The sequence below is a fragment of the Homo sapiens genome, chromosome X (assembly GCF_000001405.40).
Source record: "Homo sapiens chromosome X, GRCh38.p14 Primary Assembly".
Lineage (NCBI taxonomy): Eukaryota > Metazoa > Chordata > Mammalia > Primates > Hominidae > Homo > Homo sapiens.
The window spans coordinates 101510903-101530629 of NC_000023.11; the positions used below are offsets into that span (position 1 = coordinate 101510903).

Here is a 19727-nt window from a genome sequence, read left to right on the forward strand (position 1 = left end):
ATGCTCTTCTATTTCTTGTCCATTATACATGACATTTTTTTCCTCTCTGAAAATGTTTAGGTTCTTCTTTTCATCCTTAATATTTTGAAACTTATCAATAATATGATTTTTTAATTTTGTAGGTTGCTATGAAAAGAAAAATCATGATATTAAGTAAGTCTATTTTTATTCATTTTGATAGGAACTTAATGGGCTGTTTCAATCTAGTGACACATATTTTGCATTAGTTCTTTAATGATTTTTTGATTTCTTGTATTAGCACTTTGATTGTTTCTTCTTACCATTTTTCTGTTCTTTCGTTATGGAACTTGTACTATTTCTGTTTTACCTCCCATATGATAATTTTATTATCTTTTTCCTATTTTAAAAAATCTCTTTCTTATTGTGTTCTACATTTGGGGATTTTTTCCCCTACTCTTTTGATCTTCTATTGATACATGGAGCTTTTCCTGACCTCTGATTGTTTCTTTTAAAATAGAATTCTGCACGTGTCTCATGGATATTATATATTCTTATCTATTTATGGATATTATAGATTTTTATGGCTTTCTTCTGTTTCATGTATTGTCTATTTTACTCTCAGCTTCCTTTTTATGGCCTTTTGTCTTGGTCTCACCAAAACAATGTTAGTCCTCTAACAAACATATATTTATCTTTAAGAATGAGCCCCTCCATAGGGTTAGGAGGGATCCAGTTATATCATTGTGGCACACACAAATGCCAGTTTTCATAGATACTTTTTTTTTTTCTGAGCATTCTGTTGCCCACACTGGAGTGTAGTGGCGTGATCATAGTTTGCTGTAACTTTGAAATCTTGGGCTCAAGTGACCCTCCCACCTCAACCTCTGTAGGTACTTTTTATTAGGCTAATTAGTTTACATGGAGAGGAATCCTCCAATCTCCTTCCTTGGGCTTATAAGCACAGTTGACAGTGCTCAGGAGGCTGAGCGAGGGAAAGGACCTTGAGTGGGGAGAATGTCTCACCTTTCAATATGCAAACTCTCACTTAATTATTCCTTTTTTTTTTTAGTACAACTTATTATACCCACCTTAGCTGCACTCATAAGTTCAGACCTTTTCTGGTTTAACTTCTCCAGAAAGTAAACCATCTGTTTTCTGAGAGAACTCACCTAGTATAGGGGCTGGAGGAGAAGATCTTGGGGTCTAACTGCCCCTTATTAAAAATTTCAACTAATGGGCTGGGTGCGGCCGCTCACGCCTGTAATCCCAGCACTTCGGGAGGCTGAGGTGGATGGATCACTTGAGGTCAGGAGTTTGAGACCAGCCTGGCCAGCATGGCGAAACCTCATCTCTACTAAAAATACAAAAATTAGCCTGGTGTGGTGGCAGGCGCCTGTAATCTCAGGCTGAGGCAGGAGAATGGCTTGAACCCGGGAGGCAGAGGTTGCAGTGAGCTGTGATTGCGCCACTGCACTCCAGCCTGGGTGACAGAGCAAGACTCTATCTCAAGAAAAAAAGAAAACAAAAATTTCAACTAATCCTTTTGTTCTTAGTCCAATGAGGACCCTTCAGCAGTTAACTGGTGCCTCAAATTCCTGAGCTTCTGTACTGCTCTGTGGAGTGAATCACATACTCCTAACTCATCATCATCATTCATGGGAGATTGGAGTTTCCGCTTTTCCTGTTTTTCTAGGTCATTCAATGTTTATCCACTGATCTTCCAATATTTTGTTAATATATTCCATGAACTATTATTTCTTCTCCATTTCTGTTTGTATTTCTGATTATTTTAATGAGATTTCAAGATGGACTTGAGATAAATGCATATGTTGTATTCTGTATTAGGACTCTCTAGAGAAATAGAACCAATAGGGGAATATATGTGTGTATACATACATATATATACACACATATATATATACACATATATATACATATATACACATATATACACATATATATACACATATATATATGTGTATATATGTGTATATATGTATATATATGTAGAGAGAGAGAGAGAGAGAAGAGAGAGAGAGAGATTCATTTTTAAGGAGTTGGCTCACATAATGGGAACTGACAAGCCTGAAATTTTTAGGGCATGCTGGCAGGCTGAAAAGTTAGGTAAGAGTTGATGTTGTGATCTTGATTCTGAAATCCGTAGGGCATGTTGCAGGCTAGAAAGTCAAGTAGGATTTCTATGTCTTGAGGCAGAAGTCCTTCTTCTCCAGGAAGCCTCAAGTTTTGCTCTTAAGGTCTTCAGCTGATTTGGTGAGACCTATCCAGACAATGAAAAACAATCCATTGTGTCAATAGATTATAAATGTGAATCACATCTACAAAATGCCTTCACAGAAACATCTAGACTAGTTTTTAAACAAACAACTGGACATCACAACCTAGCCAACTTTACACATAGTATTAACCATCACAGTCTACCTTGGCACCCATACACATCTCCTTAAACCATACGTAATCTCTAAATATAGACAATAACAAAGCAATACCTCCACTTATCATGATACAGATATCCTGTGTTCAACTGAAAATGCACCAACCTTTTCCCCAGAAGAGGACGCAAAGTCCTTGGGCAATGTTTACACTTCTCCTTGATATCCTGTAACTTAAATGCTATGATGTAAAGCTAATACATATTTTGTTATATGACAAGGGAATAAGATATTTGCTATATACACACACAAAGATGTTTGCTATATACACACAAACAAACATAATGAAATGAGGAAAAAATACACATGACAATTACAGTCCTCATTTCTACAATTGGTTATGTGGTCATAGCTGGTTTTTATAACTATTTTCTTTCACTATCCATTCCATATTCCCTCTGCTCTCAGCAAGTACTCCAGCTGGTCATGGTTCTTTGCTAGGTCAGGTGACCTACACCTTCATTCCTGAAGAGTTTGGGTCTTTATTAGTCCTGCTTGAATTGAGTGATTGTAGCTTTCCATTGACTTTAATCACAGGGCATGGAAACACTAAGGGGTATTAGTACCAGTACTAATACTAGTGGATATTAGTACTAGTATTAGTACTAAGGGATACTAGTGCATGGTAGCACTAAGCCCTAAGGGATATCCTATATTCCAGACAAGCTGTTCCTTACTTCCATTGTGGAATAGACTCACATTTCCCCCTTGTTAATCAAGACCAATAACCCCAGCTAGTACAGCAAATCTGTTCATTGCCTGTTTATTCATAGGCATGAGAAGCCCAAAGTGGCCTGGTGGCAGTCTTAACTTCAATGGAATCATTGTTGAGTTTCCTACTGGAAGCATTTCTCCCTTTGAAACTAAGATCTTCAGACCAGCAGAGCATAAGATCATGGAGGCAGGAAGCAAAAATTTTGGTAGTGAAACACTAGGGGTGATAGAGAGTGATGCCACTCCCATTTCCACCCCTTGATTCCTGGGCCCATGAAACCTGGCTATGAAAAAAATAGCACCATATATTGGATTGCTGATGTAGATCACATAAAACTTCCTGGAGAACATTACTCCTATAGAGAGTTGCCTGTAAGAAATTGTTACCTACCTCATGCTGTAACTGAGTCTTCAAAAGGCCATTCTGTTAAGTCAGCTGCTTCAGGATAATAGGGAACATGGTTTAATACCAGTAATTCCATGACCATGCACCTATTGTTGCACTTCACTTGCTGTGAAGTAAGTTTCTTACGAGAAGCAACGCTGTGTGGAATACCATATAGTGAATAAAGTATTCTGTACATCCATGGATGACAGTTTTGGCAGAAGCATTGCAACCAGGGAAGGCAAATCCATATCCAGAGTGTCTGTTCCAATAAGAAAAAAATGATGCCCCTTCCATGATGGTAGTGGTCCAACATAATCAACCTGCCTCCAGGTAGCTAGTTAATTTCCCTGGGGAATGTTTCCATAATGGAGGACTCAGTTTTGGTCTTTAATGCTAGCAGGGTTAATCTCCTTAGACAGGGATGGAAGGGCTGTCTTTACTGGCAAAGAAGAATCAGTTGAATTTAGGGGTTTAAATTCCTTAACGAAGGTCCCCAGCTTCATCAGGTTCTACCCATATGTTCTCATTTAAACTTTCAGAATCCAATTCCCTCCTAATCAATGCTCTCACTTTAACATCAGACACCCTGAGAGTTGGGAATTCAATTTACATTGTAATTCAGCCACTTGCAGACATAGAAACTTCCAGGTCATTTATACAGTACTTGTGTTGGGAATTTGAAGCCCTGAGCTCATCCCTTTCTTCTGCAACTTTATCCAGCACGATTAACAGCAACCAACTAATCTCATCTTACTTGTTAGTTTGACAAAAAATGTCCTCAGGTATAAAATACATGTTTGGTCACTCAGAACCTTGACTCTTCCAAGTATGTGATTAGGAGTATCCAGTGATGATATTTTGTGTATTTTTTTCTTTTCTGTTTTCTTTTCTCCTCCCTTCCTTCCTCCCTTTCTTTCTTTCCTTTCCTTTTCTTTCTTTCTTTCTTTCTTTCTTTCTTTCTTTCTTTTTCTTTCTTTCCCTCCCTCCCTCCCTCCCTCTCTTCCTTCCTTCCTTCCTTCCTTCCTTCCTTCCTTCCTTCCTTCCTTCCTTCCTCCCTCCCTCCCTCCCTCCCTCCCTCTCTCTCTTTCTTTCTCTCTCTCTTTCCCTCTTTCTCTCTTTATCTCTTTCTCTCTTTATTTCTTTGACAAAGTCTCACTCTGTTGCCCAGGGTGGAGTGTAGTGGTGCAATCTTGGCTCACTGCTACCTCCGCCTCCTAGGTTCAAGAGATTCTCGTGCCTCAGCTTCCTGAGCAGCTGGGATTACAGCCAGCTGCCACCACACCCAGCTAATTTTTTTGGTATTTTTAGTAGAGATGGGGTTTTGCTATGTTGGTCAATCTGGTCTTGAACTCCTGGCCTCAAGTGATTCTCCCACCTTAGCCTCCCAGAGTCTTGGGATTACAGGCGTGAGCCACTGTGCATGGCCATGTTTTGTGTATTTCTACTGCCTCATCATGCCATTGACTATCCGTGTTCTCTTTACCACTGGAAACAGAGTTATTAGTATCTTTAAATCTAATCAGATTAGAGAACTAATTCTAAAACCACAGAATTCACAGTTAAGATTCTTTATAGAAATAATATAAAAATAAAAAGTACAGAGAATTAGAACAGTGCAGTAAGGATGATTTAAGTTTAAAATTTTAAATTAATGCTGTTTGTTGAGATAACAGTTATATTTTAAATTAGAAGTATGGGCCAGATGATGGGACATAGCTTCTCGGAAAAAAATATATCCACATTCTTATTTGCAAAATCAGAAAGCTCATTTATCTTTCTGAATCACTTGTCAAGGATAAATTGGCAAGTCAATACTTGAAAAAAAATTTGGTTGTCATCAGAGCAGAAAATGAAGAGTCATTCCATGTCTAATTAATAACTTTATAAACAGCGGATTTCTAAAAAGTGGGCCCCTCTTTTCTCCCCACTAACATTATAAAATTATAAGTGTATCTTAATTGGAAGAAACATTCTTCAATAAACAAAGTAAGGCATTGTTATCAATAAAATAATAAAAATTGGGGCCTGATCCACAAAATGTCTTTTTCTCTTATTACCCCCTAGCTAAAGAACGTTCAATTCCTCAACTGTAGTTATATCTGCATCCAAATCTCTAACAAATGTGTCGTGTTATTAGAGCTTCAGTTGTATTATAATACGGTAATTTTGGAGTCCTAATAAAGGAAAAGGAGTCAGGCTGGCGGGAGCAGGAGAAAGCAAGAAGAGAAAGCAGATAATCTATAAGCCTGTCTTTCTTCATGGTCCAGGACACACACCCCTCCTGCGCAGATAACTCACAATCTTCTTGTGTCCAGCTATTACCAAACCCTCGTCTGATAGAAAAATGCAAGTTAGCTCACTGCAGCCTTGGCATTATCAGTACTGCACGCAGCCCTCTCCAGCACAAGCACCGTCCTAAAAAATCGCCAGCAAGCCTTTGTCTTTTTGCAGTCAGCTCCTCTCTTCCTGATTTGCTTGTTGCTTTCTTGCAGCATATTTTCATACTTTCTCTAATAAATTTACCTTTATTTACCTACAACTGTCTTCATAAATTCTTTTTACTGCTCATGCCACCAGCCTGGATAGTTGATACCCGTGGCAGTAATCTTGTATTTGACTAATTGGTTTTGGTCAAGGCTTCACATAAAAAATTATTTCTTCACTTAATTTTCTTTCACTTTTAACACAAGTTAGAAATTACATCTTTACCTAAATGAGTGATTCATATTCAAAGGCAACCTAATATGTAGTGTCTGTTTTACTGAATGTTGAGATTTAAACAATGAGGCTTCTGTTCAGTAAGTTGTATTCTGATTTAGAAATTTTACATATATTTGAAAGGAAAATATGGGCTAAATAAATAATATTGCTGTGGAAATTATCTATTTAGATTTAGAATAACTGTACCAACAATAGTTATTACTTTTCTTTTTCTTTTTCTTATTGAGATAGAGTCTCACTGTGTCACCTGGGGTGGAGTGCAGTGGTGGAATCACTGTTCACTGCAGCCTTGACCTCCTGGTCTCAAGTGATTCTCCTGCCTCAGCCTCCTCAGTAGCTGGGACTACAGGTGCATGCCACTATGCTGAGCTAATTCTTTTTTTGTACTTCTGCCTCCCAAAGTGCTGGGACTGCAAGGGTGAGCCACCACACTTGGCCTGATTATTACATTTACTTTTGTATTTTGAAGTACACTGAGATAGTTGAAAAGTAACAGACCTTTTAAGACAGTATCAAAGATGTGAAACAAAAAACAAACACCTCATCAGAAGTACAGAAGAACCTAATGGATATGACTGAAGGTGGAATTTGTTATTTGGGAGATTTAATCATGGAATTCTTCCTAAATTAAAAAGAGATGGAAATTATAAAAGAAAGATTGAGTGACATAGAAATTAAATCCAGTAGATCTAATATCTACTCAAGGTTTGTAAAAAAAAACAAACAAAGAAATAATAGAAAGAAATTTCCTGAAAGTCTGGGTCCTCTAGATTTAAATGCCCCACCAAATGCTGAGTAAGAAAAATTTCAGAGCACACATAAGAATAGTTAGACAGATCTTAAGCACATAAAACATATAAAATCCTACATGCTTCCAGAGGGAGAAAAAAGGTAATTTTTAAAGAGAAAATTAAAATGTAATTGGATTTTTTTACCCAAAAAAGTTTATGTTAGAATGTAATGGAGCAATGTCTCTAAAATTCTGAAGGAAAAAGATCATGAACCTAGAAGTCTGTACACAACCAATTAATCATTTGTAGTAGTAATATTCTGTAAAGTTTAATGCAATTGTTTGTAAAGAATTCCTAAAATTATAGTGACATACTATAATAACAGAGTAAAAAATAGAGAAATAAAACTGAAGTTCAAGGTAATGTGAACACATTTGGAAGCAGAGTTAGGATATAATTGAAAGCATATTAAAGGTCGTATCTTACTTGAGATTGAGTGCAGTTATAGATAGTGGTTAAATGGTGACATTAGTAGGAAATACATTTATATACATTTGGTAAAATTTTCACTTGTAGTCAATAGCAGACTAGCATTAAAATGTAGAATTTTCAAGTGACTAGAGGGAAAAATTTGTCAGAAAAGAAAAACTAAAAGGAGCAATACGAAATCATGATTAATAGAAAGCATAAATATAAGATGGCAGGAATAAAACCAAAAAGAAGTAATCACAATTAACATGGATGGTTAAATTCCCTTATTAAAATACAAGGATATCCAGGTTGGACTAAATAGCCAACAATATAATCTTTTCAAGATACACATCAAAAACAAACACACAAAGATTGAAAATAAAAAGATTTAAAAAACCCAGGTAAATGTGAATTAAAAAATCAGAATTGCTAAGATTAATATCAGATAAGTTAAATTCGAAGCTTAGCTGGTAAGCTTTGAATATCAGAGCTTATCAGAGCTTAAAATAACTATCTTATTTTATATCTATATATTTTATTTTATATTTATAAATGGTGTGATCCGCCAAGAATATACAAGAAACTTTATCAAACAGCATAGCATTGAAATATATAAATTAAAATTATTAGAAATATAGCAGAAGCCCTATTATCCAATGAAATTTGGACTGGTAGCTCATCAGTTAATTGAAAAATAATTGAGACATTGGAGAAAATAATAAAATATATATTAGGCATTTTAACTTAAAATACACAAATTCTCTTTCACTTGGCTGCCTTTGATATAGAACCAACAACTTAACTTTGAGTATAAATCTTCTGGTTAGAGTTTCACATCATTTTCCTTGTATAAGCCACATCCATGATGTATCAGCTATAATTTTCAGTTCTGTTAACTATAAGTACAATGTTTTATAGCAAATCTCCAAAACTTGTTTATCTTGTATCACTAAAATTTTATATCCATTGAACAGCAACTCCCCATTTCCCCCTACACCCAGCTCCTAGCAACCACCATTCTATTCTCTGTTTCTGAGTTTAACTATTTTAGATACCTCATATAAGTGGAATCCTACAGTATTTGCCCTTCTGTGACTGGCTTATTTCATTTAGCATGTCTTTCAGTTTCATCCATATTGTCACATAGGCACAAGGGCAGAATTTCTTTCTTTTTAAAGACTGAATAACACTCCATTATATGTATATTCCACATTTTCTTTCTCCATTCATCTTTTGGTGGACATTTAGATTGTTTTCTATCTTGACTACTGTGAATAATGCTGCAATAAACATGAGACTGCAGATATCTCTCTGAGATTCTGATTTCAATACTTCTAGATATATATACAGAAGTAGAATTGCTGGATCATATGGTAGTTCTATTTTAGTTTTTTGAGGAACCTCCATACTGATTTTCATAATGGCTGCACCACTTTACATTCCCATCAACAGTGTGCAAGGGTTCCAGTTTCTCCACATCCTCATCAACACTGGTTATCTTTTTTTTTTGATAATAGACATTCTAACAGGTGTGAGGTGATATCTCATTGTGGTTTTGATTTGCATTTCCCTAATGATTAGTGATGTTGAGCATTTTTTTATATACCTGTTGGCCATTTGTATGTCTTTTTTGAAGAAATGTCCATTCAAGTCGTTTGCTTATTTTAAAATCAAGTTATTTGGTTTTCTCCTATTGAGTTTTAGAAGTTACTTATATATTTTGGAGATTAACCCTTATCAGATATATGCATGATGCTATTTTAAACAGAATTATTTTCCTAATTTTATTTTTTGATTGCTTGTGTATAGAATTATAACTGATTTTTGTATATTAATTAATCTTGCATCCTGCAACCTTTCTTTAAAACTGTTCATATACAAGGTTATGTTATCTGCAAATAGACATCATATTTTTTCCTTTCCAATCAGGATGCATTTTATTTCTTTTTCTTATCCAATTACCCTGGCTAGGACCTCCACTAAAATGGTGAATAAAAGTGGTAAGAGCAGATATCCTTGTCTTGTTCCTGATTTTCACCATTGAATACGTTATCTGTGGGTTTTTCATAGACATCTTTTATCAAATGGAGGAAGTTCTCTTCCCTTCCTAGTTTATCAAGCATTTTTTATTATGAGGAGTGTTTAATTTTGTCAAATGCTTTTTCTGTGTCTATTGAAATGATCATGTGTTATTTCTCCTTTACTTTTTAAATCTGGCATATTACGTTGATTGATTTTCAGATGTTAACCTGACTTTACATTCCTGGGGTAAATCCTTCTTGGTCGTGATGTATAATTATTTTTATGTGTGCAAGTATTGTGTTGAGAATGTTTTTGTCTGTATTTATAAGTTATATTGGTTAGAGTGGTTTTCCTTTCCTGTGACGCCTTTATCTGATTTTGGTATCTGGGTAATACTGGCCTTACAGGATGAGTTTTGAAGTGTTCTCTTTAAGTTTTTGGAAGAATTTGTGAAATATTCATATTAATTTTTCTTTAAACATTTGGTAGCATTTACCAGTGAAGCCGTTTGGTCCTGGAATTTTCTTTATGAGGTTTTTTTTTAAAAAAATTATTACTAATTAAATGTCTTTTTTTTTTTTTTTGAGATGGAGTTTCGCTTTTGTTGCCCAGGCTGATTGGAGTGCAATGATGAAGTCTTGGCTCACCACAGTCTCCACCTCCCGGGTTGAAGCGATCCTCCTTCCTCAGCCTCCCGAGTAGCTGGGATTACAGATGCCTGCCACCATGCCTGGCTAATTTTCATATTTTTAGTAGAGACAGGGTTTCACCATATTGGCCAGGCTAGTCTCAAACTCCTGACCTCAGGTGATCTGCCCACCTCAGCCTCTCAAAGTGCTTGGATTACAGGCATGAGCCACTGTGCCCAGCCTAAATCTCTTTACTAAATTGGTCAATTTTTATTTTGTATTTCTTCTTTAGTCAGTTTTGGTAATTTTCAGTTTTAGGTATTTGTCCAATTTCATATATGATATCTAATTTGTTGGCATACGATTTTTCATAGTATTCCTTATAACACTTCATTTTGTAAGGCTGGTAGTAATTTCCCTGTTTCATTCTTTATCCTAGTAATTTGGGATCTCTCTCTTTTTCTTGGTCAATCTAGCCTAAGGTCTGTCAATTTTGTTGATCTTTTTAAAGAGCCAGACTTTGGTTCTATTGGTTTTCTCTATTATTTTTCTATTCTGTTTCATTTGTCTCCTCTCTAATACTTCTTTCTGCTTGACTTAAGTTTATTTTTCTCTTCTTTTCACAGTATCTTTAGGTTAGGTTCTTGATTTGAGACCTTTTGGTATTTATAGCTATATTTTTCTCTGTAAGCACTGTTTCAGCTGTACCTCATAAGTTTTGGTATGTTGTATCTTTGTTTTCATTCAGCTCAAAATATTTTCTAACTTATTTTGTTTGACTCATTGGTGACATAGGCATATGTTTAATTTGCACATATGTGTGCATCAACCCCTATTTTTTGTTGTTGATTCTTAATTTCATTATGGTCAAAGAACATTCTTCATATGATTTCAATCCTTTTAAATTTATTGAGACTCTTAAAATCTAATATGTGCTTTATCCTGAAGAATGTTCCATGTGTCCTTGAGAAGAATATGTATTTTTCTGTTGTTTAGTGAAGTGTTCTATAGATGTCTGCCACTTCTTGTTGATTTAAAGTGGTGTTGAAGTCTTATATTTCCTTGTTGATCTTTTATCTAGTTGTTCTATCCATTGTTAGAAGTGGAGTATTGAATTATTCAATTATTATTATTGAATTGTATATTTTTCCAATTCTGTCTACTTTTGCTTTATGTATTTTGGGGATTTGTCATGAAGTACATATATGTTTATAATTGTTATATCTTTTTGACCTTTTCATCATTTTAAATTATCCTTCTTTGCCTCTAATAAAAATGCTTGTCTTAAGGTATAATTTTTCTGGTATTAGTAAAGCCCTCCAGGTCCCTTTTGGCAACTGTTTGCATGGTATATCTTTTTCTGTCCTACTTTCAACTTGTTTGTGTCTTTGAATCTGAAGTGTGTCTCTTATAGACAGCATATGGTTGGATCACACGTTTTAAATTAATTCTGTCAATCTCTGCCTTTACATTAGAGTGTTTAATCCATTTATATTAATGCAATTACTTATAGATTGGGATTCACATATGCCATTTTACTATTTGTTTTCTATATGTCTCATATCTTTTTTGTTCTATTCTTCTATTACTGCTTCTTTTGTGTTAAATAGGAGTTTCCTAGTGTACCATTTTCATTCCTTTGCCATTCCATTTACTATATTTTAGAATTTATTTTCTTAGAGGTTGCCCTTGGAGTTACAATTAATATCTTAACATAAAAATCAAGTTCATATCAATGTCAACTTAATTTCAAATCTTTGCTCTTAATAACTTCATAACCTCCTCACTCCTTTGCATCGTTATTGTCATACAAATTACATTTTTATACATTGTATGAACATCAACACAGATTTATACATATAGCTTTATAAAGTCTTGTAAGTTAGATAGGAGAAAAGACAGAATTATAACAAAATTCATTTATATTGTATTTTATATTTACCTATGTCATTGTTGTTGCATGTATTGGCAGAACAGCCAGGGAAGGAGACCATCAATAACAACCCTTCTGGGATCACATACAATTCGGGGAGTTAGGAAGGCTATGTACATATATGAAGCTACGTTCACTTAGGAGAAATCAGAGAAGGATGGAGCAGGCTTGAAAGAATTCCTCAAGCCACACACAGACCTATAAACATAGGGCAAAAGCACCAGTGGCACAGGGACTTAAACACAACTTCTGAGCAAATACTGACTCAACCATAGGCTACTCTGACCCAGGGGCAAATCCTAGAAATCCAGGATGAAAAATAAAATCAGTATCATCCCTGGAAGTCTAGAAGAATGTGTGTATGCCCAAGGCTATGCCCTTGAAGGAGCAATCACAGAAGGATCCTCCAAGGTACTAGTGGCTGAATGAGGTGGTGGATAGGGGACAAGGAAATATGTAAATTCACTGAACTATGAGAGCCATCTCCAAGCCATCCACATATCCAATGGCAAAGGATAAAAATCTAATTGGCTAAAGGATGCTTAAGCACAACCTTTAACTAATAAATAGCTTATGCCAAGCTACGGTCAAAACCTAAGTAGCCAGGCTAAAAGATAAAAATAAAGAAAAAATATCTGAGCAGGGACACCAGAGTTGCACATGTTGGGGGAAATAGACTTCACAGAATTAGTTCAGCCAAGCCAACAAACAAACCCATGACCAAGCAAACAACAACAATCTCCAGGGTGTGGGCAGGTGGTTCAGTATTCAGGGTTTCTATAATATATTATCTAACATGTCCAGCTTTCAACAAAAAATTACAACACATGCAGCAACAACTACATAGGTAAATACAAGACAATATAAATGAATTTTGTAATAACTCTGTTTTTTTCTCCTACTTACTTGACTTTATAAAGCAACATGTATAAATTTGTGTTGATGTTCATACAGTGTATAAATATAAATTATTGTCTACCAAGATCTTCACTGTTTTAAAAAATGCCTGCAGGCATAGCTTTTTTTTTTCCCCCTTTTCCAAGTTAAGTCAGTACCCTCAAGCAGAGCTGCAGAGTCCTTTATCCTTATGTCCTGCCTTTCCTCCTGGGAAGAATCCCTGAACCACTGCACCAGAGCTGGAGCCAGGGACCTGCTTTTATCTGAGTGATGCCCCTGCTCTGTGAGATAGTTCTAGGAAGGGGTGGCAGCTCCTGGTCCTCTTGGATTGCCCATTTTGGAGTAGAAAATATATTTGAGGAAATAATTGTCAAAATTTTCCAGATTTGTTGAAAGATATAAATTTATAAATTCAAGAAGTTTCATGAATTCCAAATGGAATAATCTCAAAGAAAACCACCTCTAGGCACATCTTATTGAACTGCTGAAAATGAAAAGTAAAGAAAAAATTTTAGACTGATCATTCCAAGATGGCCAAATAGGAACAGCTCCGGTCTACAGCTTCCAGTGTGATCGTTGCAGAAGACGGGTGATTTCTGCATTTCCAACTGAGGTACCTGGTTTAACTCACTGGGACTGGTTGGACAGTGGGTGCAGCCCATGGAGGGTGAGCTGAAGCAGGGCGGGGCATCGCCTCACCTGGGAAGTGCAAGGGGTCGGGGATTTCCCTTTCCTAGCCAAGGGAAGCAATGACAGATGGTACCTGGAAAATCGGGACACTCCCGCCCTAATACTGCACTTTTCCAATGGTCTTAGCAAACGGCACACCAGGAGATTATATCCTGCACCTGGCTCGGCGGGTCCCATGCCCATGGAGCCTTGCTTACTGCTAGTGCAGCAGTCCGAGAGCAACTAGGCTGGGGGAGGGGCATCTGCCATTGCTGAGGCTTGAGTAGGTAAACAAAGCAGCCAGGAAGCTTGAACTGGGTGGAGCCCACCACAGCTCAACGAGACCTGCCTGACTCTGTAGAATCCACCTCTGGGGGCAGGGCATAGCCTAACAAAAGGCAGCAGAAACTTCTGCAGACTTAAACGTCCCTGTCTGACAGTTTTGAAGTGTGCCATGGTTCTCCCAGCATGTAGTTTAGGCTCTGAGAATGGACAGACTGCCTCCTCAAGTGGGTCCCTGACTCCCGTGTAGCCTAACTGGGAGACACCTCCCAGTAGGGGCCGACTGACACCTCATACAGCCAGATGCCTATCTGAGACACAACTTCCAGAGGAAGGATCAGGCAACAACATTTGCTGTTCTGCAATATTTGCTGTTCTGCCACCTCTGTTGGGGATACCCAGGCAAACAGGGTCTGGAGTGGACCTCCAGCAAACTCCAACAGACCTGCAGCTAAGGGTCCTGACTGTTAGAAGGAAAACTAACAAACAGGAATAGCATCAACATCAACAAAAAGGACATCCACACCAAAACTCCAAATGTAGGTCACCGTCATCAAAGACCAAAGGTAGAGAAAACCACAAAGATGGGGAGAAACCAGAGCAGAAAAGCTGAAAATTCTAAAAACCAGAGCGCCTCTTCTCCTCCAAAGGATCGCAGCTCCTCACTAGCAATGGAATGAAGCGGGATGGAGAATGACTTTGACAAGTTGACAAAAGTAGGCTTCAGAAGATTGGTAATAACAAACTTCTCTGAGCTAAAGGAGGATGTTCAAACCCATTGCAAGGAAGCTAAAAACCTTGAAAAAAGATTAGACGAATGGCTAACTAGAATAAACTGTGTAGAGAAGATCTTAGGTGACCTAATGGAGCTGAAAACCATGTCACAAGAACTACATGACGTATGTACAAGCTTCAGTAGCCGATTCAATCAAGTGGAAGAAAGGGTACCGATTCAACCAAGTGGAAGAAAGGGTATCAGTGATTGAAGATCAAATGAATGAAATGAAGTGAGAAGAGAAGTTCAGAGAAAAAAGAGTAAAAAGAAATGAAAAAAGCCTCAAAGAAATATGGGACTATGTGAAAAGACCAAATCTGTGTTTGATTGATGAGAGAATGGAACCAAGTTCGAAAACACTCTTCAGGATATTATCCAGGAGAATTTCCCCAACCTAGCAAGGCAGGCCAACATTCAAATTCAGGAAATACAGAGAACACCACAAAGATACTCCTCAAGAAGAGCAACCCCAAGACACATAATTGTCAGATTCACCAAGGTTGAAATGAAGGAAAAAATGTTAAGGGCAGCCAGAGAGAAAGGTCGGGTTACCCACAAAGGGAAGCTCATCAGACTAACAGGGGATCTCTCAGCAGAAATTCTACAAGCCAGAAGAGAGTGGGGGCCAATATTCAACATTCTTAAAGAAAAGAATTTTCAACCCCAAATTTCATATCCAGCCAAACTAAGCTTCGTAAGTGAAGGAGAAATAAAATCCTTTACAGACAAGCAAATGCTGAGAGATTTTGTCACCACCAGGCCTGCCTTACAAGAGCTCCTGATGGAAGCACTAAACATGGAAAGGAACAACCGGTACCAGCCACTGCAAAAACATGCCAAATTGTAAAGACCATTGATGCTAGGAAGGAACTGCATCAACTAATGAGCAAAATAACCAGCTAACGTCATAATGACAGGATCAAATTCACACATAACAATATTAACCTTAAATGTAAATGGGCTAAATGCCCCAATTAAAAGACACAGACTGGCAAATTGGATAAAGAGTCAAGAACCATCAGTGTGCTGTATTCAGGAAACCCATCTCACGTGCAGAGACACACGTAGGCTCAAAATAAAGGGATGGATGAAGATCTACCAAGCAAATGGAAAACAGAAAAAAGCAGGGGTTGCAATCCTAGTCTCTGATAAAACAGACTTTAAGCCAACAAAGATCAAAAGACAAAGAAGGCCATTACATAATGGTGAAGGGATCAATTCAACAAGAAGAGCTAACTATCCTAAATATATATGCACCCAATACAGGAGCACCCAGATTAGTAAAGCAAGTCCTTAGAGACCTACAAAGAGACTTAGACTCACACACAATAATAATGGGAGACTTTAACACCCCACTGTCAACATTAGATAGATCAATGAGACAGAAGGTTAAGAAGGATATCCAGGACTTGAACTCAGCTCTGCACCAAGCGGACCTAATAGACATCTACAGAACTCTCCATCCCAAATCAATAGAATATACATTCTTCTCAGCACCACATCGCACTTATTCCAAAACTGACCACATAATTGGAAGTAAAGCACTCCTCAGCAAATGTAAAAGAACAGAAATCATAACAAGCTGTCTCTCAGATCACAGTGCAATGAAACTAGAACTCAGGATTAAGAAACTCACTAAAAACTGCACAACTACATGGAAACTGAACAACCTTCTCCTGAATGACTACTGGGTAAATAACGAAATGAAGGCAGAAATAAAGATGTTCTTTGAAACCAATGAGAACAAAGACACAACATACCAGAATCTCTGGGACGCATTTAAGCAGTGTGTAGAGTGAAATTTATAGCACTAAATGCCCACAAGAGAAAGCAGGAAAGATCTAAAATCGACACCCTAACATCACACTTAAAGAACTAGAGAAGCAAAAGCAAACAAATTCAAAAGCTAGCAGAAGGCAAGAAATAACTAAAATCAGAGCAGAAATGAAGGAAATAGAGACACAAAAAACATTTAAAAAAATCAATGAATCCAGGGGCTGGTTTTTTGAAAAGATCAACAAAATTGATAGACTGCTAGCAAGACTAATAAAGAAGAAAAGAGAGAAGAATCAAATAGATGCAATAAAAAATGATAAAGGGGATATCACCACCGATCCCACAGAAATACAAACTATCATCAGAGAATACTATAAACACCTCTATGCAAATAAACTAGAAAATCTAGGAGAAGTGGATAAATTCCTCGACACATACACCCTTCCAAGACTAAACCAGGAAGAAGTCAAATCTCTGAATAGACCAAAAACAGGCTCTGAAATTGAGGCAATAATTAATAGCCTACCAACCAAAAAAAGTCCAGGACCAGACGGATTCACAGCCGAATTCTACCAGAGGTACAAGGAGGAACTGGTACCATTCCTTCTGAAACTATTCCAATCAATAGAAAAAGAGGGAATCTTCCCTAACTCATTTTATGAGGCCAACCTCATCCTGATAACAAAGCCTGGCAGAGACACACACACAAAAAAGAGAATTTTATACCAATATCCCTGATGAACATCCATGCAAATATCCTCAATAAAATACTGGCAAACAGAATCCAGCAGCACATCAAAAAGCTTATCCACCATGATCAAGTTGGCTTCATCCCTGGGATGCAAGCCTGGTTCAACATATGCAAATCAATAAACGTAATCCATCACATAAACAGAACCAAAGACAAAAACCACATGATTATCTTAATAGATGCAGAAAAGGCCTTCGATAAAATTCAACAGTGTTTCATGCTAAAAACTCTCAATAAACTAGGTATTGATGGGATGTATATCAAAATAATAAGAGCTATTTATGATAAAGCCACAGCCAATGTCATACTGAATGGCAAAAACTGGAAGCATTCCCTTTGAAAACTGGCACAAGACAGGGATGCCCTCTCTCACCACTCCTATTCAACATAGTGTTGGAAATTAAGGCCAGGGCAATCAGGCAGGAGAAAGAAATAAAGTGTATTCAATTAGGAAAAGAGGAAGTCAAATTGTCCCTGTTCACAGATGACATGATTGTATATTTAGAAAACCCCATCATCTCAGCCCAAAATCTCCTTAAGCTGATAAGCAACTTCAGCAAAGTCTCAGGATACAAAATCAATGTGCAAAAATCATAAGCATTCCTATACACCAATAACAGACAAACAGAGAGCCAAATCATGAGTGAACTCCCATTCACAATTGCTTCAAAGAGGATAAAATACCTAGGAATCCAACTTACAAGGGCTGTGAAGGACCTCTTCAAGGAGAACGACAGACCACTGCTCAACGAGATAAAAAAGGACACAAACAAATGGAAGTACTTTCCAAGCTCATGGATGGGAAGAATCAATATCTTCAAAATGGCCATACTGCCCAAGGTAACTTATAGATTCAGTGCCATCCCCATCAAGCTACCAATGACTTTCTTCACAGAACTGGAAAAAAATACTTTAAAGTTAATATGGAACCAAAAAAGAGCCCGTATTGCCAAGACAATCCTAATCAAAAAGAACAAAGCTGGAGGTATCACGCTACCTGACTTCAAACTATACTACAAGGCTACAGTAACCAAAACAGCATGGTACTCGTACCAAAACAGAGATATAGACCAATGGAACAGAACAGAGCCCTCAGAGATAATAACACACACATACAACCATCTGATCTTTGACAAACCTGACAAAACAAGCAATGGGGAAAGGATTCCCTATTTAATAAATGGTGCTGGGAAAACTGGCTAGCCATATGTAGAAAGCTGAAACTGGATCCCTTCCTTACATCTTATACAAAAATTAATTCAAGATGGATTAAAGACTTAAATATTAGACCTAAAACCATAAAAACCCTAGAAGAAAACCTAGGCAATACCATTCAGGACGTAGGCATAGTCAAGGACTTCATGTCTAAAACACCAAAAGCAATGGCAACAAAAGCCAAAATTGACAAATGGGATCCAATTAAACTAAAGAGCTTCTGCACAGCAAAAGAAACTACCATCAGAGTGAACAGGCAACCTACAGAATGGGAGAAAATTTTTGCAATCTACTCATCTGACAAAGGGCTAATATTCAGAATCTACGAAGAACTTAAACAAATTTACAAGAAAAAATCAAACCACCCCACCAAAAAGTGGGCAAAGTATATGAACAGACACTTCTCAAAAGAAGACATTTATGCAGCCAACAGACACATGAAAAAATGCTCATCATCAATGGTCATCAGAGAAATGCAAATCAAAAGCACAATGAGATACCATCTCACACTAGTTAGAATGGCAATCATTAAAAAGTCAGGAAACAACAGGTGCTGGAGAGGATGTGGAGAAATAGCAACACTTTTACACTGTTGGTGGGAGTGTAAACTAGTTCAACCATTGTGGAAGACAGTGTGGCGGTTCCTCAGGGATCTAGTACTAGAAATACCATTTGACCCAGCGATCCCATTACTGGGTATATACCAAAAGGATTATAAATCATGCTATTATAAAGACACATGCACACGTATTTTTATTGCGGTACTATTCACAATAGCAAAGACTTGAAACCAACACAAGTGTCCATCAATGATAGACTGGATAAAGAAAATGTGATACATATACCCCATGGAAGACTATGCAGCCATAAAAAAGGATTAGTTCATGTCCTTTGTAGAGACATGGATGAAGCTGGAAACCATCATTCTGAGCAAATTATCACAAGGACAGAAAACCAAACACCACATGTTCTCACTCATAGGTGGGAATTGAACAATGAGAACACTTGGACACACGGCGGGGAACATCACACACCGGAGCCTTCCGTGGGGTTGGAGGATGGGGAAGGGATAGCATTAGGAGAAATACCTAATGTAAATGATGAATTAATGGGTGCAGCAAACCAACATGGCACATGTATAGATATGTAACAAACCTGCACGTTGTGCACATGTACCCTAAAACTTAAAGTATAATAAAAAAATAAAAAATAAAAATAAAAAAGTGGTATATAAAAAAAAGAAAAAAATTTTAAGGTAGTTAGAGGAAAATAACTCATTTCTTCTAGGGGAACAATAATTTGAATGACTGTGATTTTCTTATCACAATGAAGGCCAGAAAAC

The 19727-nt window shown here is 37.1% G+C and overlaps 1 protein-coding gene across 5 annotated transcripts in view; it reads left to right on the forward strand.

The window, feature by feature from the left end:
• ARMCX4 (armadillo repeat containing X-linked 4) overlaps positions 1-19727 on the forward strand; it is a 117711-nt gene that overhangs the window by 92625 nt on the left and 5359 nt on the right. For 2 of the 5 annotated variants that reach the window (NR_028407.3, NR_045862.2), the window contains 2 exons: positions 123-153; positions 13302-13530. The gene's annotated coding sequence lies outside the window, so the exon portion shown is untranslated. Of the gene's footprint in view, positions 1-122; positions 154-5577; positions 6050-13301; positions 13531-19727 lie in introns of those variants that run through there. The other 3 variants (NR_045864.2, NR_045861.2, NR_045863.2) reach the window with 2 other exon arrangements.